Source organism: Homo sapiens, chromosome 2, assembly GCF_000001405.40.
Source record: "Homo sapiens chromosome 2, GRCh38.p14 Primary Assembly".
NCBI classification, from domain to species: domain Eukaryota; kingdom Metazoa; phylum Chordata; class Mammalia; order Primates; family Hominidae; genus Homo; species Homo sapiens.
Window position 1 is genome coordinate 190,512,779 of NC_000002.12, and position 25,350 is coordinate 190,538,128.

At 41.4% G+C, this 25,350-nt stretch overlaps 1 protein-coding gene and 1 long non-coding RNA gene across 22 annotated transcripts in view, besides 1 other annotated feature; one reads left to right on the forward strand and one right to left on the reverse strand.

Annotated features, from left to right (window-relative positions):
• The window catches only part of NEMP2 (nuclear envelope integral membrane protein 2), a 227,365-nt gene that overhangs the window by 91,358 nt on the left and 110,657 nt on the right, over positions 1-25,350 (reverse strand). For 5 of the 13 annotated variants that reach the window (XR_007068185.1, XM_047441941.1, XM_011510458.4 and 2 more), the window contains exons 1-7: positions 21,781-21,944; positions 12,485-12,600; positions 6,174-6,405; positions 5,958-6,030; positions 4,742-4,835; positions 3,492-3,606; positions 1,675-1,900 (exon numbers count right to left, since the gene is read on the reverse strand). Coding sequence is in view for 11 of the 13 variants with exons in the window: in XM_047441941.1 (XP_047297897.1) it covers positions 1,675-1,900; positions 3,492-3,606; positions 4,742-4,835; positions 5,958-6,030; positions 6,174-6,405; positions 12,485-12,600; positions 21,781-21,877 (953 nt within the window). In the remaining 2 variants the exon portion in view is untranslated. Of the gene's footprint in view, positions 1-1,674; positions 1,901-3,491; positions 3,607-4,741; positions 4,836-5,957; positions 6,031-6,173; positions 6,406-12,484; positions 12,601-21,233; positions 21,583-21,780; positions 21,945-25,350 lie in introns of those variants that run through there. The other 8 variants (XM_017003100.2, XM_017003099.1, XM_017003098.2 and 5 more) reach the window with 5 other exon arrangements.
• Positions 21,608-22,257: a silencer, noted in NCBI's record as "silent region_12179". NCBI's record gives its function as "represses an Ori minimal core promoter by ATAC-STARR-seq in GM12878 lymphoblastoid cells {active_cell/tissue: GM12878}" and the evidence as "EXISTENCE:reporter gene assay evidence [ECO:0000049][PMID:35858748]".
• NEMP2-DT (NEMP2 divergent transcript) overlaps positions 22,060-25,350 on the forward strand; it is a 104,691-nt gene continuing 101,400 nt past the window's right edge. For 6 of the 9 annotated variants that reach the window (NR_183903.1, NR_183902.1, NR_183904.1 and 3 more), the window contains exon 1: positions 22,060-22,343. This is a non-coding gene — a long non-coding RNA (NEMP2 divergent transcript). Of the gene's footprint in view, positions 22,344-23,102; positions 23,210-24,686; positions 24,782-25,350 lie in introns of all 9 variants that reach the window. The other 3 variants (NR_183907.1, NR_183910.1, NR_183909.1) reach the window with 3 other exon arrangements.

Consider the following 25,350-nt stretch of genomic DNA (forward strand, 5'->3'; position numbering starts at 1 on the left):
CAGATGGGGCAAAGAGAGACCCAGTCAGCATCAACCCTCCAACCCTGCCCTGCTGCCTTTCAGCCCCGCCAGCATCTTCTGTGCGGGCTCCCTGTCCTGTCAATGGTGCAATTTTAACCCTGTGATATTGCCACACACACACACAGTCACCAGTTCCATAAACTACCAGTCACCATAGTGTCCTTCCTCACAGCCAATTTTACCTCTTGAACATTTATTCACTCCCTCTTCTAGCCTTGGTCTCATGGTCCTACCCTAGGCCCTCATCAGCTCTCGCCTGGACCACTGTGATGTCTGATAACTGTTCTCCTGCCACAGGGGCCTCCCCTTTATATCCACCTGCTGTGCCAGAAGACAGATGGGCCACATCCCACCAGCCAATGAGTATTTATGGTCTCTGGTGTGATTTTTGTTTGTTCAATGTATTTTTATTTTTAATTATTTTTACTTTTAAATGCCAACATTTAAAAATCCTGAGATTTCACATTCTAATCGTAATTCCCATTTCCAATTTTTCTAGAAAACCAGCAGATCTGGCAATACAGGACTCATATTCCCACACATGAGCAATCAGCTCAAGCTGAGTGGTAACAGCCCCGTTTTCAATGAGGTTGCTTTGTAGAGTTTCCCACAGTCCTCCTGGTTACTGCTGCCTTACCCCTGCTCAGCATCACTCACCATAGTATCTGCCTGGGTCCTAAGCAACTGGTTTGATAACTGCTGTAGAGGCAGCAGTCAGAGTGGACCAACTAAAATGTCTCATGGTTAAACCCCACTGTGTACAGGACTGGACTAGATTGCTTAGCATGGCTGCCATGCATCTGGCCCATGCCCACCTTGCTTGCTGCACTGACAGCACTGCCTATCTCCTGATGGTACCAAACTGGGCTTTCTCTCCATCAGGAAAGCCCTCCGCATTTATTCGTCTGGTTATTTTTATTCATTCTTTAAGATTCAGCGTAGTAATATCTCTCCAGGAAAGCTCTCCTGGCTTTCTCTATATACCCTTAGTTCCTGGGCAAGTCTCCATTTTAATACTTAAAAGAGATAGAAATGTATGCCTATGTCTAGCAAGTATACCTCAAGGGCAAGAACCATCTCCATCTGTGCACCTGACATGAAAACAGCTGCTCAGACTCAATGACTGAGGAGAAACATAACAAAGCTGTCACAATAGAGGTTACTTCATTTTTCTTTTTATACTCCAAAGGCCATAAGCCTTAACTAAAAACCTAAGAGAAAAGAAAGTCCTAAATACAAATAATACCTTTCAGTCATTTATGATTCATTTCTGTTTCCTAATTCGTATCTCATAAGCACAGCTGATACCACTAAAGCAGTCTTTGACTCTAATTAAAGAAAATGTTGAATAAAAGAAGATATTTTAGGTAACCCAGAGTCCAAGTACTTCTGCCATTGACTCTAGTGAATTCTGAGTGAGCTCTAATTACCTGGTAATTGGTGGTACAGCTCTCAACGATTAATGAAGACTAGCCATGAAGATGGGATCAGATGCTTGGAGCTCTCTACCCCTACACCCCCAATCTTGCTCAGAATGAAATCTCCAGATCAAATGTAATTATGAGATTAACATGATGTGTGCAAACACTCTCCCAAATAATAAAACTAGAGCTCAAAATGTCAAATTTGCTGGGGGAAAAAAATGATACATACCACCTCATATAACTGCATGCTCTCAGTGGGTAGTGCAGACTCCAGGAGGACATGAGGAGGATTATGGCTGCATAGGCAAACTGAGGCACGGCCACACCAGCATAGACCAGAACCAGGGAGAGGAGTCGCAGCATCCACATCAGAAGACTTCTGCTCCTGTCGTCTGCAAGGGGCCCATGCTTGTAACAAACAACAAAGCTGAAAAATCCAACTATCAAGACATAGCCTGGAAAAGTGGAAGAGGTAAAATAATATAAATTTGAATTTGAGACATTATGTGAAAAACCTGGCAGAGCCTTGACTTAAAGGTAAAAACTATTAGAGAACCTTAATTTTTGTGTTTTTTACCCCATAAAGTAAGGTTGAAAAATGCACATAGGGTGTTATTCCTTCCATATGAGATACTAGGCTGACTTTCGCAATAATTTGGGATGTACACTCATTATTATGATGATACATAAGTATGTCTGTGTTTTAGTCCAGCACCCTGGCTGGACTAAAATGTTATCATGGTTACTTTGGTCAGGAAGAAGTCACAGTTGTATGTCACCATTGGCTACAAACCCTATTTTTTATTTTTACCTTCTTGTCATGAAAGGAAAAGGTAATTTTACAGTGGAGGGAGTCACCCTCTGAATCCAATGTTCAGTCTCATCATTACGATGGTGAGACTATAAGCTATTCTGTGTCTCTGGGTATGATCCAAGGTGAAGTGCCCATCACCTCTTAGGTATTCTATCTTAAGTGTTTAATTTATATCTAACCAAGCCTTGAAGTCTAATTTCCAGTTTACAGAAAATACGCAGAAGAGAAGAATATGTTAAATTCTATCATAAAGGGGTCATCAGATAAATCTAGAAGGTGGAGATTCTACAGGACAAGCTTGGTTTCTTTAGCATATCACTATGATGAAAAAAGAACTGCTACGGATTAAAAGCAATTTACAGGACAAAACAGATACTAAATGTGGTTCTGGACCATATCCTAGTTTATATAAGCCATCAAGAATGGGAAATTTTTTCATGGCCTGGGTAATAGATGATTTTATGTAATTATTTTTCAGATAATAATTAACTGATTATATAGGAAAAGCCTCTTGTTTTTCAGAGAGGAATAGTGCAGTATTCAGGGGAGCATACCATGGTATCTGTAATTTAAAAGTAGCACAAAAAGAAGAACGAGCTAAAAATATACAATTTTCAAGTAAAACAACTTAATTGCTTTTGTTTTGAGGGAAGTGAACTTATGTGAGAAATTTGGTGCTAAAGGTTAGGAGAAAATTGATTCTCTCATTGTCCATTATTTTCTAGTTAAAATAAACAATAAAAACATTTATTTTGTAATGTAAAACAAGGAAAATAAATGGTTTCTTAGCCTCTGTGTTTCTGAAAAGGCAAGTTTTCATTAGTAATTTATAGTTAGGATTTCTCACCTTTCCTAATGAATACTTACGGGAAAGAAAGAAACAGCCACTTTTCAGAGAAGCTTTTACATTACCAGTTAGATGTGGTTAGAGCTTAACCACAATTCAGAAGCATGTGCATTCAAAAGGGACAAACACTTTTTTTTCCTCTTTTGATCATTACTACAGAAAACTAAGAAACATGTCATAGGGAAATCATCTAAAATGAGATCTAAATGAACTGAAATCAACAACAATGGGAATAAGATAAACAAAATATTATTTTTAGTAGCACCTTTCGTTAGTTCAAAATGAAAATTTAGATGTTGGAGAGAAACATCTATCAAAAGAAGGCCTCTAGTTGTACATCTCAGTTTTACCAATCACAGAGCATATTGTTTTTCTATTTACCTACCTAATACATATATCCTGTTTTCATACCACAGCCACTTCAGATCTTCCATCAACTGGCATACAATATAAACTGAGGCAAACCAACAACCAACCATTAGAGCCCAAAAGGTGCTATACTGTGTGTGGAAGAAAATAAATGACACATTTTTTGGTTCATTCACTCTCATAAAAATAAAAGCAAACAAATAAACCTTTTGTATTAGAAACTCCTACATCAAACTGATTTGAAGTCAATTTAAGAAACTCCCTAGGGTCTTAAGGTGTGGTCCACAAATCAGCAACACCGACATCACATGGAGCTTGCTGGGATGGCAGAGTCCTAGGCCCCACTGCAGACTGCTAAATCAGAACCTGCATTTCAACAAGATTCCCATCTAGCTTGCATGTACACTGAAGTTGGAGTTATAAGCACTGTTATAAAGAGTAAATTTATCTTAAAATAATGCTGCTGTTGCAAACTTTAATCAGTGTAACTGCAACACTACCAACATGAATTATTTATCCTCAACTAAGTTCAGTGTGTTATTTTATTGAAGGTGTAGCCGGGCACGGTGGCTCACGCCTGTATTTGCAGCTCTTTGGGAGGCCAAGGCAGGCAGATCGCTGGAGCTCAGGAGTTCAAGACCAGCCTGGGCAACATGGTGAAATCCTGTCTCTACAAAAAATACAAAAATTAGCTGGGCATGGTGGTGTGTGCCTGTAGTCCCAGCTACTGGGCAGGCTGAGGCGGGAGGATCACTTGAACCCAGGAGGCAGAGGTTGCAGTGAGCCAAGATCATGTCACTAAATTCCAGCCTGGGCAACAGAGCAAGACTGTGTCTCAAAAAAAAAAAAAAAAAAAAAGAAGGTGGGTTGGGGAACTAATAATAATAAAGAAATTCCCAGATGTAGCAGTGCTGTTATTCAAGGCCCCAATGGTTCAGCATCATGAGATTCCCAGCTCTATAAAGATAATAGAAATTTTCACTCAATATAGAAATAGCTTCCTATCACTCAAGAAAAACACATTACCGAGAAAGCAAAGGGGTCTCAAAAAAAGTATCATGAAAACTTAATACTCAGCTAAGCCTACATATAGTAATAAATAAAATCAGGAACTCCAGAAAAAGATACATTTTAGAGCCAGTTTACATAATGAAGAAACATAATTTAAATTAGAACCTATCATAATGTGAATTAATTTTGATTAATTTTTCATGTCTGTAAGATCATGATTTCCATTTTTTACTCATTTTCACATAGTATGCCTACCTTCGGAATGAATCTTTTCACCAACAGCAAGACAAAGACTAATGTCATTAGAACACCTAGCACAGTTCCCGAGGAGTAATAGAAAGTAGGGCTTCTGTCAAGATAAGCAGATAAAAGCTATTTAAATGCCAAAAAGCACTTTGAGTATGAAAAACATGTTTAACCTGGCAACATCAGTCATAAATAACACTAAGAACAGAAAACTCAGATGGCAGCTCTCATTACATCCTATACTCTTAAAAAACAAAATGGGTACTTGAAATTTATGGTAAGTTGCTTGCCACTAACTCAAAACAGAATGTCTGAAGTATTTTTCATATTCAGGATCTGATCAGACAATAATTACTGAACACCTATCATGTAGCAGGCACTTTTCTAGGTTTTAGAAAGGAGAAAATTAAGGCACCAAAAAGTTAAAAAATCTTCCCTAAGTCAGTATCTGCTCAGTGGAGGATTTGGGATTACAGCCCAGCTCGTCAGAGTCCAGGCTTTATTCTTCATGCTATGTATGCATCATCTGGTTTCTAAAGTTCATGGATGACATTAAACACACTTGGTAATACTATAAGGAAAAGCTTCAAAATGAACAATGTTAAGAATAGCTGACGAGTGTTGGGTACTAACCTAGAATCTACAAGCTAAGAAGTAAAATATTGAAAAAAAGATTTCTTTCTCATGAGAGAATTCCAAGAAGCAAAACATCAGAATAATATGTTTCTCAGATGAGAACTTGTCAGTAATAAAAAAGAAAATGATAATGTTTCTCTAAGAGTCAGAAATTTGCTATATTCAGCCTTCTGTATCACGGTCATAAATCTAGTAGGTGGCTCTAATGTAATAGAGCAAGGTGTGTGGACCAGAAAACCAGGGAACAAATCTCCAGCCCTGATAAGAACTAGTAGTGTGATGAAGGATGTTGCTTTTCTCATCTATAAAATGAGAACAATAATACAGAGCTTGCATAGTTATCAAGATCTAATAAAATGTTAATACATAAAATATGTGAAAGCACTTTGTAACATATACATATCACACGATAAAAATAAATGTTACTGTTTTCAAAGGCCTTTCCAATACCATCTTCAGACCTATTGTTTGCAAAACCTAAAGTAAGAACTACAAATGCACAATAGTGTGAAAATACTTAGCATGTGGTCAAAAATGATCTAAATCCCTTTTCATTCACAAAGTTAAAAATATAAAAAGGAATACTTACTGACTCAGGGTCCTTGCATAAAAGAAAAGAAAAACTCCTGCCACAAACACAAGGAAGAGTTTGAAATCCATGACTGGAGTAAAAAAGACACACAAACACATAACAAAGATTTTTTATCAATGTAATGTTGGTAAAAGAAGAAAAAAGTCAATTTATTGAAAAGTTACTCCAGAAAAACTGAATCCAGAAAGTCAAGTATAATAAAATCGGACTTACTGTTTCGATTCACATGTATCATATAGTTAAATATCTTCTTGACAGGCTCCACAGAGAAGCACACAGTCTCCCTGTATGGATTGATGATTATGGTTATTTCGTTAGATTCCTTTGGTATCCAAAAGTTATGAATCACACATTTGATAAAAGATAGAATGTTTTCTGGATATTGGCAATTATGTCTTTCTGCGATATATACAATTCTGAACAGGCCTGGACTGGTAATTTTCACCTGTAAAACAAGAACAAGCAAATCCATAAACAGAATAACTTCTCTTTTTTGTTTTGGAGACAGGGTCTCCCTCTGTTGCCCAGAATGGAGTGCAGTGGCAGGATCTCTGCTCACTGCAACCTGTGCCTCCAGGGCTCAGGTGACCCTCCCACTTCAGCCTCCCAAGTAGCTGGGACCACAGGCACATGCCACCTGCCCAGCTAATTTTTGTATTTTTTGTAGAGATGAGGTTTCGCCATGTTTCCCAGGCTGGTCTCGAACTCCTGGGCTCAAGCTGTTTGCCTGCTTCAGCCTCCCAAAGTGCTGGGATTACCGGCATGAGCCACTGCATCCAGCCAAAACTTCTTAAAAGCTTCTTAAAAACATGAGCAGAGGAGTAAAGATAACTCAAAGTCAGCTGAAAAAAGAATACTCAAATGCGCAGGGTAGAGTTCTATGTTCTGATCCCAGAGGTGGACTCAAGAGATCTGTATTTAGTCCAAACACACGCTGAACCACAGACATTATTGAAAGTGAATGCTTCTCCCTCCAAGCTGTGGCTGATTTAAGTCCCTCTTCTAGCAAGTTATTGTGGCCAAGAGACATTAAAAAGGATAAGAAGAATGTACAGGCATACCCATTTTATTGTTTTACATCACTGTGCTTTGCAGATAGTGCATTTCTTACAAACGGAAGGTTTGTGCAACTCTGTGTCAGGCAAATCTACTGGCACCATTTTTTCAACAGCATGTGCTCACTTCATGTCTTTGTGTCAGCATGTTTTAGCAATAAAGTATTTCTTAAATTAAGGTATGTAGGGTTTTTTTAAAGATATAATTCTATTGCACCCTTAATAGACTAACAGTATAGTAGAAACATAACTTTTATAGGTACTAGGAAACCAAAAAATTTGTATGACTTGCTTTATGGGGTATTTATTGAAGTGTTCTGGAACCAAACCCACAGTCACATTATCTCTGAAGTATGCCTGTAATCAGTGGCAAACTATATGAGTAGGCATAGTTTGAAAATAGGGTTTATATTTACACCATTTTCTACTATGATTAAGAAAAAGCACTTCCTTTCTCTGGATCAGCTGAGCATCTGTAATTCAGGCTTCTCTCACCATGCCTGCTAAAGGACCAGATCCCAACCTCAGGTCCTATTCACATCACAGAACAAAGCACTAGCTACAAGCCGATGGTGACAACCCAGTGGTCATTAAATGACAATTTTGCTGCTGCCTTTGTCTGTCCTTTTCTCTATTCCTCTTCTTTTTCTAAGAGTAGGGCAACCCTGAAAAGGGGAGTAAGAGCACCAGCTTTGAATCTCAGGCATCAGGTAATATCACTCACTATCTATCTACCAACCCCTGCATTTCTCTTTGACTTTGGCTTCTGGCTCACTGTGGCTCTCTCTTCAATACCACTTCCTGTCATTCTTCTTAGGTATTTCAGTATGTACAATATACACACCAATCCTTCCAGTATCCTGACCTCTCAGTTCCTGGGACTCCTTTCCTCTTATGCTCTTGTCCTCCCTACCTCAGCTCATCACTCCATGGCCATATCCTGGACCTTGTCAGTACCAGACTGCAGCCCCTCCATACATTGTGTTTCATTCATCTCACTGTGTGACCACCATCTCCTATCTTTCCAGTGTACCCATCTAGTGCCCCAATCCCACCAAGGATCTGAACATCCTTCTCCTGCTCCTTACCCTCCTAATATCCTCAATCTCTTTTTAGCCACCTAAACTCCATGATCAATTATTATACACCATTCCCTGGCACATACCCTTGACTCCTTTGTACCCCTCTTGCTTTGTCATGCTCACTTGCAAAATCCAACTCTCCAGCATTCTACTCCTGCATTTGCATCACCAGTGTGCTAGAGAAGTGCACACTGGTCTCACTTCAAATCCATGACTGTGAACTTAAGAGAGGGACATGAAAGTTGCAGTCATTCATACCACATATTACTATTCATTCATTCTTCCACCCTCTGCAACAAAGGATTTCACAACTTCTTCCTCAATACTCAACACCTTCTCCCCATCCTCTTCTCCACTGTTGATCCTTCCTACTTCACTGAAAATGGAAGAAATCAGAAGTGAATGTCCACCAGCTCCTATCTGCAAAGCCACCTACCTGTCAGCACCTGCAGGCACATGCTCTGCTTCCTGCCTGTGGGGAGGAAATTTCTTCCACAGAGGAAATTTACAGGCTCCATAAAGGTAAGTCCCGACTTGGGCACGGGATCCTATCCACGTTTGCCTACTCAAGGACATCCCAGCAGCAGTTCTTCCCTCTCTACGAGATTATTTCTCTCAGCATACAACATTTAAAAAAGAAGAAACAACCTTCTGTGGACTCCACTTTTCCCTCCAACTACCACCCATTTCTTTGCTTCTTGTTGCAATAAAATTCCTTTAAAAAGCTGCCTGTGCCTGCAGTCTCTAGTTCCTCTCCTTCCATTCTCCCTTTAATCCACTTCAATCAGGATTTCATTCCTAAAAGGCCACCCTGACAAGGTCACTGGTGCTTCCATGTTGCTAACTCAAATGCCCAATTAATTCTCAGTCATCTTATTTGACCTGTCAACAGCACTTGGCATTGCTGATTATTCCCTTCTCCTTATTATACTTCTCCCTAGGGCTTCCAGGACATCTTCATTGTCCCTCCTTTTATTTCTCCTCTGCTTGCTCCTTCCTTCTCCCTGAACTCTTAATATAAGACTGACCCAGGCTTAGCCATTGGTCCTCTTCTCTTCTCCATCTAAACTCACTCAGTTTCATGGCTTTAGGCACCATCTATATAAATATGCATCGCTAATTACTTTGCAAAAAAAGACACAGGAAAGATATACCAGAAACTACTTAAACTGATTGTCTACAAGGGTTGGATAGGAATTAATAGAGGGAGGAGGGAAAGTGACACTTATCTGAAAATACCTTTGTATAGAGTTTTAACTTTTAAGCCATATTAATGTTGTAGATACTTATAAATAATGATAATAACACAAACATAAAGATGGAAACAACAGACAACTGGGGACTTCAGAAGGTGGTTGGGAGAGGGGCAAGGGTTGAAAATCTACTGATTGGGTACTATGGTCACTAGTTGGGGGATGGGTTCAGTAGAGCCCAAACCCCAGCATTACACAATATATCCATGTGACAAACCTGCACATGTACCCCCAAATCTAAAAAATTAAAAATTAAGAAGGTTTTTTTTAAAAAAACAAAATCTCACTTAAAAAACCCACTATGATCTTTTCTGAGAATAAAAAGGTAAACAAAACTTGTAAACCAAAAATAAAATTCTAACACCCCCGACCCCGCCAACTATCTGAATGAAACCCTGTTCTCGGCCAGGGCACTCCAAAGTTAACCTGAAAAATTGGTTCAGGCTATGCCAGGAAGCAGGGGTTGGACATGCCCCATTATGCCCTCCTCCCTTTTGGAATTCAGGAAAAACCAACCAGCATTTAATATCAATACAGACCTTAAGTCTGATAAGAAGCATTTATAATCTATTCTCTCTAAAGCCTGCTACCTGGAGGCTTCATCTCCATGATAAAACTTTGGTCTCCGCAATTACTTATGATAACCCAGACATTCCTTTCTATTGATAATAACTCTTTCAACCAATTGCCAATCAGAAAATTTAAAAATCTACCTATAACCTGGAACACTGCACCCCTCTCTGCTTCAAGTTGTCCCACCTTTCTGGACCTAACTAATGTATACCTTAAATGTATTTGATTAATGTCTCATGTCTCCCTAAAATATGTAAAACCAAGCTGTGCCCTGACCACCTTGGGCACATGTTCTCAGAATCTGAGGGATGTGTCACAGGCCATTGGTCACTCATATTTGGCTCAGAATAAATCTCTTCAAATATTTTATAGAGTGGCTTTTTGTCAACAAACTAAAAAAATAAAAATAAAAATGATAATAAAATTGACCATGATGGGGGAAAACCTTGAAATTGAAACAAATAAAAACAAACTATATTTTGAATGAATAATATAACCAGACTGAAGGGGGAGTGGATTGGGATGAATTAACCTAAAATACACAACCTCCGAAAAAGATTTTAAAAAAACACTATAAATAAATATTGAACTCCTGTTACTAGGTTTGTTTTTTGTAATGGTATGACTTACCAATTCTGTAACTACTTTTAGTGTATTCTGGGATTAGGCAAATAAATAAATATATTTGAGGATAATGGGAACTAAGTTTCTCATTATCAGAGAAGGGAATTACAAATACGAAAACTGGAAAACTAGCATGAACCCTGTGGTATTGGAGATCTCAGAACTCACGGTTTCTAATAGGTAGATATAGATGTATGTGCAGGCCTATGCGTGTGTATGTGTTTGTACACACATGATGATATGCTAGTAGCAATGAACACACCTAATGTTGACTGTTCCTTGGAAAAAAAATGTTATGATTCCAGAGCTAAGTCTATGAAATTACACACGCCTAGAACATCTTGTTTGTTAGAAAGTAAAGTAGTGCTCAAAAATGCTAGGCACATGGCAGAAGGACACAGGAGCTAGTTTGAAGGGGCCCTGACTGGCTAAATCTAGGACAATTTGAGTATCAAAATAAATAATGAGAGTAATGGATTGTAGTTTCCTGAAATAACTGGCAATTTGTGAGACTATATGGATATAAATAAATACATGGGAGGAGGAAAATCTCTTCTTTATAGTAGAATGCCAATGAATGTAAATGGAATAATGGTGCCAGGCGCAGTGGCTTGCGCCTGTAATCCCAGCATTCTGGGAGGCTGAGGCAGGCAGATTGCTTGAGTCCCGGAGTTCAGTAGACTCATGGGCAACATGGCAAAACCCCATCTCTACTAAAAATACTAAAAAAAAAAAAAAAAGTCAGATGTGACAGTGCACACCTTTCAAGTAGTTCCAGCTACTTGAAAGGCTGAGGTGGGAGAATCACCTGAGCCCGGGAGGTTGAGGCTGCAGTGAACCAAGATCGCACCAATGCACTTCAGCTTGGGCAACTGGAGTGAGTCCCAGTCTCAAAAAAAACAGGACAGATATAAAAAATCAACATTTGATAAATATCATCATGATTATTGATTCAGTAAAGCATCATCAATGAATGATAAACTAAGGGAAGAAAGTTTGATGAGGAAGAGGTTATCTACACAGTCTCAAATCATCACCTCAAAATACTCATTAAAGGGAAGAAAACAGTAATTTTAGTGGAAGAACCTGACAAACACTACCTTAACCATGTGATTAAAGTGGTGCATATTATCAGCAATGGTATCAATTGACATCAAATGCTTGCTGATACAATGTTCCAGCTATTCTCTCAGCCTAGAACACCCTTCCCCCCAGTACCTTGTTGGTTAACTCACTCCACTGAAATCTTCCTCAAATGTTACCTTCTCAACGAGAACTACCCTGGCCAATTTGCTCCCACTTCTCTCATCCCACTGATATTACTCTACATTTTCTTTTTTCATAGTACTTACTAGTTTTACCATTTTCATCCCTATTTTATTTATTGTTTACTATTCCCCACCCTAGATAATGTAAATATCCACAATGGCAGGGATCTATTTTGTTCACTGATGTATCCTAGGAGCCTAGAAATAGTTCCTGGTACTTATAAGGTAGGTACTCAATAAGTATTTGTTAAATGCTGAATGAAGGAAAGTACTAGGCAATTAAGAGCAACTGCTATCTTGGCCATATTTGGGATAAGTGGTTATTCCAGAATTTCTATTTGGAGGGGCTTTGGATAGCAATTGTGGAAAGTAGGAGGAACATGTTGTCTTAAGACTGCCTGAACAGCAGGCATGCTGTATACATTTAGATAGTATATTCATTGGGAGTGGCTTGGGAGGGGCTGAGGGAGAATATGAAGGAGTTAGTGTCCTCTTCTCACACTGCTCACCCATTGAACCACTGTGTGTGATCCTCAAGTCAGCTTTCATAGTGATACACAGATCTGTGTCATACCAAAAATACTTTCTATTCCTGAAGTGGTACATTTCCTGTCCCCAGGACATGGTAATTCTCTGTCCCTAAGACATGAGTTAAAAGTAGGCCCTTACCTGCATAGTTGACCATATGTATTTCCACTCCACTTGGGAATTTTGATTGTAGCAGTAACAGTCTGACTCAGACGTTCTAATTAAATCTTTTTCCTTCAAAGCTTTACACCTACGAACTGAGAGATGGAAAAGGGAATGCATTTTCTAACTGTTTAATTGCCCAGAATCTTTTTTAAAAAAAGTTTGCAGGGAGGTAACAGTAGCAGTTTTAACGTTCTATGGCCAATAAATTCTCCTATATGATAATTATAGTCCTTCAGTGTTTCCAACCAAGGAGGAGACAGATAGAAAATACGATAGCCCAAGTGTCAATATTTATGACATTGGAGGGCACTATAAGAGCACAGAGAACAAGTACTTCTTCAATTCTGAAGCAGAAGGCAGAATTATGGGCACCTTCTCAGAAAAGACAAAAATATGAGTAAAGGGCTGAAGGGCAAGGTAGAGGCAATAAGACAGAAACTAGGAGGTGGGAGTGGGGGTGGGCAGAACCAGCAAGTATGTACAGAATCATGAAAATGAGATAAATTATGGAATTAATTCAGTTTAGAGATATTGGATTCTTATATTGGTAAGGGAGCATGGATGGAAGGTATAGGGATACAAGAAGACATTTGAACACCTGTAGCTGGAGTGGTAAACCATAGCTACTACTATACCATGTGGACTCCATCTTGAAAGCAGAGCATTGGAGGATTTTAGGTAAGTATCAGTCTCAGCAAGAAACTATTGACACTCAAAAGGATTTAACTGAAAATAGTTCAGTAAAGATATGGACAGGGTTAAGGCACTAACAATAAGGCACTAACAATAAGGCACTATGAAGTTCCTAGGCACCAACAAGAGCAGGAAGCTTTTAGCAGCCCAAGTCCCAAAATGGCAAGGAGGATCCCATGTTACTGGAGTCATTGGAACTGGGAAGACAGTAGTCTAAAGGAATGCAGTCACTGCCAGGACTCCCGTGGAATGCAGGGTGAAGGTATGGGTACCTCAACCTGTCTCTCCTGCTGTCCCCTCAGTGCCCTGAATCAGCCAAACCCAACAGGAAGACAGAGGGCAATGAAGCCCATATAATGCAGTCCACAGAGGTTAGCTTCCAGGCACTAAGCGGGGAAGAGAAGGGCTGAGAATAGATCTACACCAACAAACAGGGAATACCAGCTCAATAAGGAAGTGACAGAAACACATTTGTATTTTAGAAAGAATATTCTGTAAGTAGTGTGCAATATTAAAGAACAAAACTGAAAGCAGAAGAACCACTAAGGAGGCCACTGAAGCAATCTAAACAAGAAATGGACTAAGAGAGGCGGGAGAAATAACAGATTAGGAAATTAAATCAGCAGGCTTTACAGATTCATTTTATCAAGGAAAACAAGAAGATGATGTAAAGGTTTCTGATAAGCGGAGAGATAGTGAGGCCCTTTACTCAGATAAGAAATACTAGAAAAAAAGCAAGTTTGTACAGGGAAGTGGGGGTGAGTTCAATTTCGGATATACTGAGTTTTCATTGGTGGGATTCTGTGAAGATGGACAGATCTTCACATCTCCAGCAAGGAGAAATTTGGCTGGAGACAGATGTAGATACCTAAATATATATGTATGCTATATATAATGTATAATACAACTCAACATAACTGAGAGAAAGAGAGATATATATTAACCCTCTGTGTTACAGAGGGCTAATGTAAAATGCCACAAGAAAACTAGAAAGTAATGATGTTCATTTTCTTCTGTGGTCGTTGCTGTATTTGGATTTGAAATGAAGTGGAATGAAAGTCGTAAGTTCTTCCGGATTCAAGATAGAGTGTCACCTCCACATCTGTTCTTTAGGAAACAGGAACAAGGAACACTTATGGGTACACAAAGAAATGGGCTTTACATCCAACCCCTGACTCCTTTAAGGAAAGTGTGGTCAGTTGTTCCTCCTGAAAAACCTGAAATGAAGCTAGAACAACTTGCTACACCAAAGTTGGGGAAGGACTGAGTAAACAGTAACTACTAGTAAACAATCACATCCATGTAGGGAATAATACTGAATATGCTCACACAAGGCCCTGGTCCTGGCCTGAAATATCCTTAGCATTAAGTTGGAGAAAAGTGAAGACAGACTTGGGGAAAGGATCCTGGGAATGCTCGCCATCTCCCAGAACACAACTCCATAAAAGGGAGGGTTTTCCGGTGGCCACACGAAGCAGCAAAATTACACAAGGACCCAACGTATTCAACTGTGACAGTCAAATCAGTCATCTTTACTCTTCACATTATGATAAAATGCATATGTTTCTAAATATATCAAGAAATTTGCAGAGTTTGAGAGTCCAAGATGCAAATACAAGAATCCAGGTGAAAAGCCAGTAAAAACCACAAGAAGGAACCTCTAGAGCAAAGGTCCCCAACCCTGGGGCCAAGGACCAATACCAGTCCATGGTCTGTTAGGAACAGGGCTGCAGGAGGTGAGCGGTGCGCGAGGCGAGTGATCATTACCACCTGAGCTCCACCTCCTGTCAGATCAGCAGTGGCATTAGATTATCATAGGAGCGTGAACCTTACTGTGAACTGAGCAACCTAGGGATCTAGGTTGCATGCTTGTTATGATAATCTAACTAATGCCTGATGATCTGAGGTGGAACAGTTTCATCCCAAAACCACCCCAACCCCACTCCTATCCTGTGGAAAAACTGTCTTCCATGAAACTGGTCCCTGTTGCTAAAAGGTTGAAGACTGCTGTTCTACAGGCTCTCTGTTAAATACAGGATACTAAAAATGAAAAACATGCTCCTGCATGGTGTGTCCATGCACAAGAGCCAAAAGAAGAATTCACAACCAGGGCTATGAATACACAAAGCAACCAATGCTGAGGCACATTTTTGAATATATCTGAGATGCAAATGACTTCTGGCCAAGGGCAGCATAGGGGGAAGTGCAGTCCCAGGGATATCAAAGGGCTGGCAGCTACCTATAGAAAAGAAGAATGTCAAGGAATGTAGTATATAACCTGGAAGATCCTGAGCAACTGCAATGAGAAGACATGAGAACACATTAAATGCTCCCAGTTAGTAAGCAGCAGAGGTGTGGGGATCAGATCTCTGGATTCACCTTGTCATGTTCTGCCTTTGCACAGCCTCCTCGGGGGGGTCTCTAAGCATGGCTAGAGTTAATAACTTTATACTGGGAGTCCTCAAACAAAAGTGATTCCTACCTATCGTTGGAAAGGGAGTGCATTCCAGCAGGGCAGGTGAAGAGCATGAAGTCTCAGGTACACGGACCCAGCAGCCCAAACTATGATAATAATGTTTACTTCCAGACAGGTCTTTCTTCACCACCCATGTGCTCAATGCTAGATGGGCTTTTCTTGTGGGTGCCTCCAAAGGTCCCTCACTGCAATTCTTCTAGTGAGTGCTGCTACTTCAAGGGCTAAATCAACTCTCATAGAACAGTTCCCTTTTGTTAATGGTCTGAGGAAATAACCTTTTGGTGGGGCCTGAGTTTTGCAATCAAATGCTCTCTTCAAATAAGGTTCTTTCCACTTGATCCTAAGACTGTCTCCTAAATCATTCCAAACCTGGAGCTCTTAAGAGCAAGATGATGCAATTTAAGTATAGTGTATACTGCAGTTTCAACATAGGAATAAATGCTTCTCTCTTACCCAAGCCACATTCCTCTTGCACTAGGATGATGTAATAGCCTTCTATCTGGCTGGTCTCCCTGCTTCCAGAATTGCTGCCCCCCAACTACCATGTTTTCCCCTACAACACACTTTTCAATTAGCAAATAGATCTTTTTAAAAACATGAATTGGGCCCGGGTACAATGGCTCATGCCTGTAATTTCGCTTGAACCTGGGAGGCGAGGTTGCAGTGAGCTGAGATCACACCACTGCACTCCAGCCTGGGCGACAGAGTGAGACTCTGTCTCAAAACAAAAACAAACACAAACAAACAAAAACATGAATGGGAACCCATCATTTACCTGCTTAAAACCCTCCAATGGTTTCCTTTTACACCATTAATAAAATCCCCCTCCCTTCCAGGGACCTGAGTGCCTCTATGACCTTCCCTCCTCCACCTTCCCTCCCAGCCCACTGCTCCAGCCACAGCTGGCCTTCCTGTCCTCAAGATGCCAGCGAGCCCCCACATAAAGTTTCCTCAGTCTGCTGCAACCTTCTTCTCCCAGATCTTGGCAGAGCTCATCCCTTCCAATCACTGATATACTCTATCAAACACTCCCTTCTCAGAAAGGCCTTCTTTGACCCCACTGTCTAAACAAACACACCCCAACCACTTCCACCTGCTTTATTCTTTCTTCATATTACATATATATTTATTAGCTTATACTCTGTCTCTCCATGAAGTCAGGGACATTGCATGTTTATCACTGTAACCCCCAGAACTTAAATATTTATCTTTTGTGTGTAGCTTGTGGTTCAAGAGGACTAGTGGGTTATTTAGGCATGTGTGGCCTACCAATGGAAGTCCAGCCAATCTTTGTAAGAGCCTGGCCAGGAATAGTCAGCACCGTAAAAGAAGGTGCACTCTGGCCCTCCCTTGAAACCACCTGATGTAGTAGGATGCCCTTGCCAGCCTGTGCCACTGCCATCCCATTTACAGAACTGACAAAGCATGAGGGCCAGTCTGGAAGCCACAGGCTGCACTTCCCCCTTGCCCTACCCCATGGCCAATACATCCATAGCTAGAGGGTTGAGTACTGTAACCCTTAACATCCTCTGGACTGGGGATCATCTTCTTGCCCCTCACTGGATAGAGGAGGTCAGAAAGAATAGGTGGCATTAAGCTTCTTTTGTTTGACTCATATATGATACATCAGTGTATTCTGGGTAAGGGATCTGCCAGTTAGAGGAAAAGAACTTGTTCTGCATTTCCCCTCAGTCTTCAACCAGATTAAGGACAGCATAGAAGGAAGGAGGTTGTCCTGACTGTTCATGCCTATAGACACGCTAGTAAAAGCATGTTGCAGTGTTTTCCCTCGAATTCTCCAGAGTGGCCTCTGGCTTTTGAGGTGAAGCTGATGTGGAATTTACACAATCCATGAGATTCCACAAAGTGTCAGTGCTTCATGGTGTCCTCTGGCTGCCCTTTTTTCTTATCACCTCTCTCCCGAGGTGAATGAGTCTCAAACAACCCACACAGGAATTCCTAAATATCTAAGGGACCATAAATTCAGCCATAAGAAGCCACAAGCCTAGCTTCAAGTCAGTTCATTAAGCCACGGGCTATTTGGACTAGGCAAAAGACAGTGATTGTCACAAGACTGTTATCACAGCTGGCCCACTGTTCTCTCTAGAGAGAACAGATCTTCCAATCTTAGATTGATTATAAAGGCTGTATCTTTCTTAGGTCTCTCCTCCCTTTAGCAATCTTCTTCTAGAGCCATTTCACTGCTCGGTTTCAATCATGTCCAATGGAAACAGGAAACAGAGCCAGTTTGACTGCTTATTTGAACTCTATGGCTGATTATGCCCTGACACTGAAGGCTATGAAGCTGCCTGCATGTCTGCGGGTTTCATTTATTCATGAGGCCCCAGTTATTGCTGGTTAATTCTACTAGGATAGAACCTCCGGTAGCAGATGTAGGCAAACTCAAATGTATCAAAACAACAACGGGCCAGGTGCTGAGGCTCATGCCTGTAATCCCAGCACTTTGGGAGGCCAAGGCAGGTGGATCCCTTAAGGCCAGGAATTTGAGACCAGCCTGGGCAATATGGTGAAACCCTGTCTTTACCAAAAATAAAAAATTGGCCAGGATCATAATTCAGTCTCAAAAATAAATAAACATTTAAAAATTAGAACAAAAACAACAACAATCCCCTTACAATGCAATCCAGGAAATGAAACAGAATTTCTAGGAATTTTTAAAAATCTAACAATAATCATTCATTTGGTCAAAAGGGAACAATACCTGCCTAGGGAAAGCTACTGCTTCTACTTGAGGCTGAGGTATTTAATATGTCCGTACCCTGGAAGGTGCTCCATAACCTAGGTAATCACTTCCTCAAGCCTGAATCAGATCGGGAGAAAGATCTGGAAGTGTAGGCTATCCCAGGTTTGCCTCAACCCTCAAGGACTGAGGAGTATCTGTGGGATCAACCCTGAATGCCATCCTTACTATGGAAAGACAGGTTTCTAAGCCTGGAAGGGCATCATTTTCCTTAACTTCTTGCAATCCTCAGCAGGCTCTTTGATGCTTTCAATTAACCTGACTTCTAGAGAACAGTATATTTCTGGATAGTTGTGCCCAAATTTCTAAGATGTTACAGGAGGCATTAATTATTTACATTACCAAAGGATTCAGAAAGTCAGGGTTCCCTTAACCAATGAGATAGATTCCTTAGTTCATTTTAAATACCACTCAATTTATGAATATTCAATTAATCTAATTTTAGAATTACATATCTAGTATAAAAAAGGGACAGCTACATATCACCTAATTATAAGCTCAATTATCTCCTTTGTAGTACTTTTGTCATTTATTAGTTTTCCTAAATGTAAGTATATGTTTAAGTTAAAGAGTTGAGTCATATATACGGAAAAAAAAACCTCAGTCAAAACATCAGAAAAGAGCAGGCAGTACTTAAACCTACTTACAGAATATGCTAAAAATAAAAAGCACAAACACCTCAAATCTTAGCAGAACCTAACTCCCAACACAAAAATATCTCACCAATGTTCCTCCTGAAAACTGACATGGCCCTCATATGGGGAAAAAAAATATCTTCAGATGAAACTAGAATGGAATCATAATATAAACACTTATTAACTTATATGACAAATTTCCCCATTTTCCCTATAACTGTTTTTCTTTGGGGACAAGGAAGGGGAGGGAGAAGAGTAGGAAACACAAAAAGCAAAAAACCAACAAGTCTTAACTTGTGAGAAGTCAAATGGACTCAGGATTTTTCTTACTATTTGTTTTTTGTAAATACACATTTTCAAAGGTGTTAACGTGAGGCACCAAAGTGATAAAGGTAACTATTCTCTTAACCTCAGTTTTTTTTAACCTGAATATTCATCTTTTTCTTTCTCCAAGAATATGAGAATGAAACTGGAATTAGTATATACTCATGCACACTCAGGTCTTTAACTTCAAGTTCAAATCTTCACAGATGAATCTTAAAGCTGTGGTGTCAAATGGACTGTTATAGTTTAAGCCTGGAAAGCCACTGACAGGGCCTGAACTTCATCTCAGGACAACACATGGTTTCTAGGGACCTCACTAACTGGGTGAAAATTATGGGAAACTCTTGAAGTTTCTCCTCTCAGTCAGACAACTACCTGCTCCTCCTGTGTCAACTGTCTCTGACTTTCCTCCAAATAGAGTGACAGAAAGCTGGGGTTGGTCTGAATGTTCTCCATTCCATTGAAGTGTGTGTTATTCAAGACAAAATTTTAGAACAGGAAGGCACCTTAGGTATCACTAATCCAAGCCCCTCGCTTAAAGGAAGTACCAGCTGTTTCCTCTCAGGGTCCTCAAGAAACCATAGACTTTTAAAGAGCAGCTATGGTTCTTAAGCCTAGTCTAATCCAGGGCTGCCAACAGTGTCACTGGCACACTACCAGATGCTGGGCGCTTCACAGTCCGTATTGGAAAGCCTACCGGAATGGCAGGCATCCCTCTAAGGCTACAAAAGTTGCCATTCTTCTTAGCTGTGGACTAGTTTTATCAAGTCAGTGGGCATCCTGCATGTCTCAGGCAGAACAGAAGCTCCAATAAGTATTTATGTGTGTCTTTGATTAACAAAGCAGAGAAGCAGGCTGTTACTATTATACTAAATGCGGTAACATAAAAACTTTAAAAACACCAGGTTCACTGAGGTGAGGAAAATACTGGAAACTCTTCAGTAAAAACATCTTCATTTTACTCAAGAGAAAACTACGGTCCATAAAGACTCTGTGCCTGGACCAAGGTTATACCACAAGTTGTGGCTGAAGGAATGAGTGGTCTAGAACCCAAGGTGCTGGGTGCTGGTCTAAGGCTACTTCTAATTTTCTCGCTGTTGCCATGCCCAGAAACCTTCCTGCTTAGACAGATTTGTGTTTTATTTTTTCACCAGCATAAAATTGTTGTATTTCTTACTACCAAACCTTCGTTTTCTCATCTGTAAAATGGGTATAAAATGGTGCTTTCCCGCATAGGGCTTCTATGGGTATTAAATATGATAGATACTGCAGTTAAAGCACTTATAACACTGCCTAGCACATACTGAACACTCAAAAAATTTCTCTTCAATGAAAACTGGAATCCAACACTTCCCCAACATATAACTCACTGCAAGATTCCCTCAGTTGGGAGCTGTGGCAGAATCTGATAATGACCTCATCAACATCCAGTCTCTCATTCATCCTTAGATAAAAAACCGCGGTATAACCGGAGGGAGGGCCATGCCCAGCTAAAAGAATACACTTGGCAGCCTCCCTTGAAACCAGGGTAGCCAAAGCAAGGAAGGGAAGTTGGTAGACAGTGCACCCAGGAAATCTTTTAAAAGATTTTATGAGGGGAAAAAAAAAAAGAAACAGAAATGTGAAGCTCATGGTAAGTTAGCGGCAGGTCTGGAGTTGGAACTCTAGGTTTCTGACTTCCCCAGGTGTCCTTCCCAGATCCTTCCCCAGTGTGCCAGCATCTTAAGCCCACTCCGTGGCGAGCCCCTACAGCTAGCAGCCGCTACCAGTTCTTGCTTCCTGTGTGCCAGGCATTGTGCACACGAACACCACAAGAACCTTGTGAGGCCTCATTACCTGCCGCTCACGTGGGACCGTTATGTTTACTCGCTCAAGGTCACAACAGTCAGGGGCAGAAGAATTTTCGCTCCGATTCTGAAGCTGAAGCTGTTACCTTCTCTAGTCTTGAGACCAAAGGAATGCGAGATAGTGAAATAACAAGGATTTCAACACGCATTGATGTACTGTACAAAAGGCCGTGTGCTGAAAGTCTGGAGACTAGGGTCAGCTGTGCCAGTGACAAGCTGTGTGACCCTGGGCAAATCAAAACCTCTCTGAGTTTCGGTTGCTTCTGTAAAACGAGGGAATTGGGCGACTGGATCGCGCGGTTGCTTCTAATTCTAAAATTACAAAATGTCCAACTGCCAGGCGAGAGACTACGGAAGCCCAGTAAGACAGGAAGGGCGGGCGGGGCCTGCCCGGGAGACCCCAAAGCGAGAAAAGGGAGCGCCCGCCCCAGTGGGCCTCGCGGTGCCGCCCGGGCCAAAGAGCGCGCCCTCAGGGCAGCCGCGAAGCCGGGGAGCGAGCACGCACGCGCGCGCCGCCGCCGCCGGTCCCGGGTTACCTGATAACGCTGCCGCCGCCGCCTCCCCGCGCACGGGCAGTGTGGCCAGGGGCGGCAGCCAGAGCAGCAGCCACCACCGCCCTTGGCGCGGCCCCATTTCGTTAGGGGTCAGCTCCGTGCGACCCGAGCCCTAGGGGACCGGCTCCGCTGCGAGGAGCGGAAGTGGCGCGGGGGCTCAGAGAAGGCGGAGGGGGCGGTGAGGCCCGAACGCGGGAAAGGCGGAGACCCCGCCTCCCCGGGGCGGAGGGAGAGTTGGGCTCGTTGCTCCAGCCTCCGCCCGCGGCCTCGGGGCACGGCGGGCCCAGGCCGGAGGAGCTTTCGGTGGCGCGACCCCGCTGGCATGCTCCCGGCCTCGGCCTCGGCCTCGGCCTTGGCCTCCGGGCCTCCAGCGCACGCGGGGCGTCCAGGGCCTCATCTTCCCCTGGGGACCGCCCGGCCGTGTCCCGCTGCCCTCGGCGCAGGGGTGGGAGTTGCAGAGAGGAAGAGTCGCTAACCCGGAGTGTTTCTTAAAACTTGGCTGACCTGTGACCTGCGGATTTGGAGGCTGAATTCTCCGAGCACCTGTGAGTGACAGCCCGTGAATGGGAAGGTCCTTCGGCAAACGCCCTTTTTGTGAATAAAATACATAAAAGCCAGTTTCTTTATTTTACCTTTCTGTTTATCTTTTTACTTTCATTTGGTAACAAGCAATAACAAATTGGAAATTTGGCCGCTTAAGTAACACTGACTTGTATGTCTAATCTCGGACACGGCATTTCAGAGTACAGAGGGGCTCGTAAAATGTTCCTTCACCAACATGACAAGGTTCTCTTAAAATTACCTTATGTTAAAAAAAAGTTTCTTAATGTAATAGATATATTTTTAAATTAACATATAACCTGAATGATCTTAATACTGATAATTAGGAGATATACATATATTTTAAAGAACATTCCCTCCACAGGACCTGGAACCCATTAATTTGACTCAATATTCCATACTTAACTAGGACAGTCTTCTCTAATTCTGGTCTTTTGGTGAGATATCTTAGAGAACCCAAAGTAACAGAAATTATCCTGTTAAAAATAGATAAGCCTCATTTTTCCTAAAAGTCTGAGTAGGATGGACTAGGCTTTCCTTGCCCTCAAAGAAAGGTTTAACCAACTGCCCTTAAGCACTTGGCACCATGTGTACACCATGTATGGCTTTTAAAAAGTTAAGAAATTTCCTTGTAAGGGACTCTTCAGAGGGATGGTTTTTAAAAATAAACCATCATTACTTGAGTGAAGCCTGTCTTCAGAGAAACAGCAGAGCCCTGATCCAATTCTTTCCTGTATTCCCAGGTGCGGTGTGCACTTGCTTCTTGCAAGACAGCTTTTGTACCTAACCACATTCATTTTGATTTGGTTTAATTTTGGATGGCACTATGGAAAGTAGCTAAAATAAACAGGTGGGTTGTTGAATGATGAATGTATTTTCTACAGATATATCTGGTGGAGAAACAAAAGGGCAGGCAGCAATGTACTAAATATTTAAAGTGCTATTTATATCACAGATCCTTAGTAAATATCTGTAAAGAAGCTATATTGAAACACCACATTTTTCTCTATAAGCAATAAATATTTTTCCGGAGATAACAAGAATGTTAGGAGGTGATAGTTCTGTCACTGGGGGACAATCATGAAATTCCACTTAACCTCTCCAAACTTTTCTTCTGTATGAAAACCTTATCCACTGGGGGAAGGGCAGGAAGCTTTACCACCAACAGGATCCTGGCAAAGACCCCCTGCTTCTGGAGAAGAGATAGAAGCACAAACCTTCTGCCCTTTGGGGAGCAGCAGGAGCAGGAAACACTAGGGCTCTGTGTCCTGAACCAATAGAAAATTGAAGTTGGCTACTGCTGGGAAACCCTCTCTCACTCAAGACTCACCACAGATAAAGGAAGGATTTGGCTGCAATGGGAAAGTGTCAGGAATACTGGGAAAGCCCCACATCTAAGGTTCAGGTGCACAGGGCCTGCCTAAAACCAAGGCAGGACCAGGAGTGTGAAAAACCCCTTTTCCCCACTACAAGCCAAGCACCAGTGACAACACCAGTCAACTAGTGAGGAGGAAAAAGAGTGGGGAGAGACCTCTCTGTAACACAGGCATGCAAACACTGCTAAAAGCTGAGTGAGGGACACTGAGAAAAACTCCCCAGCACTCTAGGTTCCACACTAAAACAATGCAATAGTAACCCCCTGCTAGAGGAATCTGAATGAAGCCTGTGGTACAGAGTGAAGGCAAGGATAACAACAACAAAACCCAAATTCAGCACAACTCCTGACTAGATTGACTCAACTACCCACATTATTGACTGGACAGAAGAGGCATGTTTATTTCTGGACATTAATATTATTTACCTCAGTTGTTACTATTCTCCTACATGTGATATCCATCATTTGATCAAAAATTAAAAGACACCCAAAAAAGCAGAGAGGAGAAAAAATCAAGAGGTAAAACAGAACCAGATTCAGAAATGACCCATATATTGGGCTAGAATTAATATGCTTATAAAGCTAGTGGAAAAGGTGAACAATATGCATGAATATATATAGAGAATTTCAGCAGAAAGAGGAAAATTACTTAAAAAGTGAAATGGAAAGGCTAGAAATTAAAAACACCGTATCAGAAATGAAGAATTCTTTCAATGGGCTTATCAGCAGACTGGACATAGCTGAGGAAAGAACCGGTGAATTTGAATATAGGTCGATATGGTTTGGCTGTCTCGCCACCCAAATCTCATTTGAATTGTAGTTCCCATAATCCCCACACATCGTGGGAGGGACCCAGTGGGAGGTAACTGAATCATGGGGGTTATTCTTATGCTAGTGAGTGAGTTCTCATGAAATCTGACGGTTTTATAAGGGGCTTTTCCCCTTCACTCAGCACTTCTCTCCTGCTGCCTTGTGAAGAAGGACATGTTTGCTTCCCCTTCCACCATGATTGTAAGTTTCCTGAGGCCTCCCCAGCCATGCAGAACTGTGAGTCAATTAAACCTCTTTCCTTTATAAATTATGGGATCTGTGGAACTTTGAACTTGAGAGATGATTTAGGGTATCTGGTGGAAGAAATTTCTAAGCAGCAAAGCATTTAAGAGGAAGCAGAGCATGAAAGTTTGGAAAATTTGCAGCCTGACGATGCAATAGAAAAGGAAAACCCATTTTCTGGAGAGAAATTCAACCCAGCTGCAGAAGTTTGCATAAGTCACAAGGAGCTGAATGTTAATCAACAAAACTATGGGGAAAATGTCTCCAGGGCATGTCGGAGACCTTCTCAGCAGCCCCTCCCATCACAGGCTCAGAGGCCTAGGAGGGAAAAATAGTATCATGGGCTGCACCTAGGAAACTTCACCCCATTGGCTCCTCAGCCAAGCACATACAACAAATGTCTGAAACTGTGGTTCCTTTTATACTGAGCAGGATTACCATGGCAACAACACATCAACAGTAGGGTAAAGCTAACCTGTCTCATGATGGTCTAAAGTGACTAATCCACTCTAGCATTCCAAACTAAAACAGGGAAAAAAAGGCAATCTCTCTTCAACCCCTCC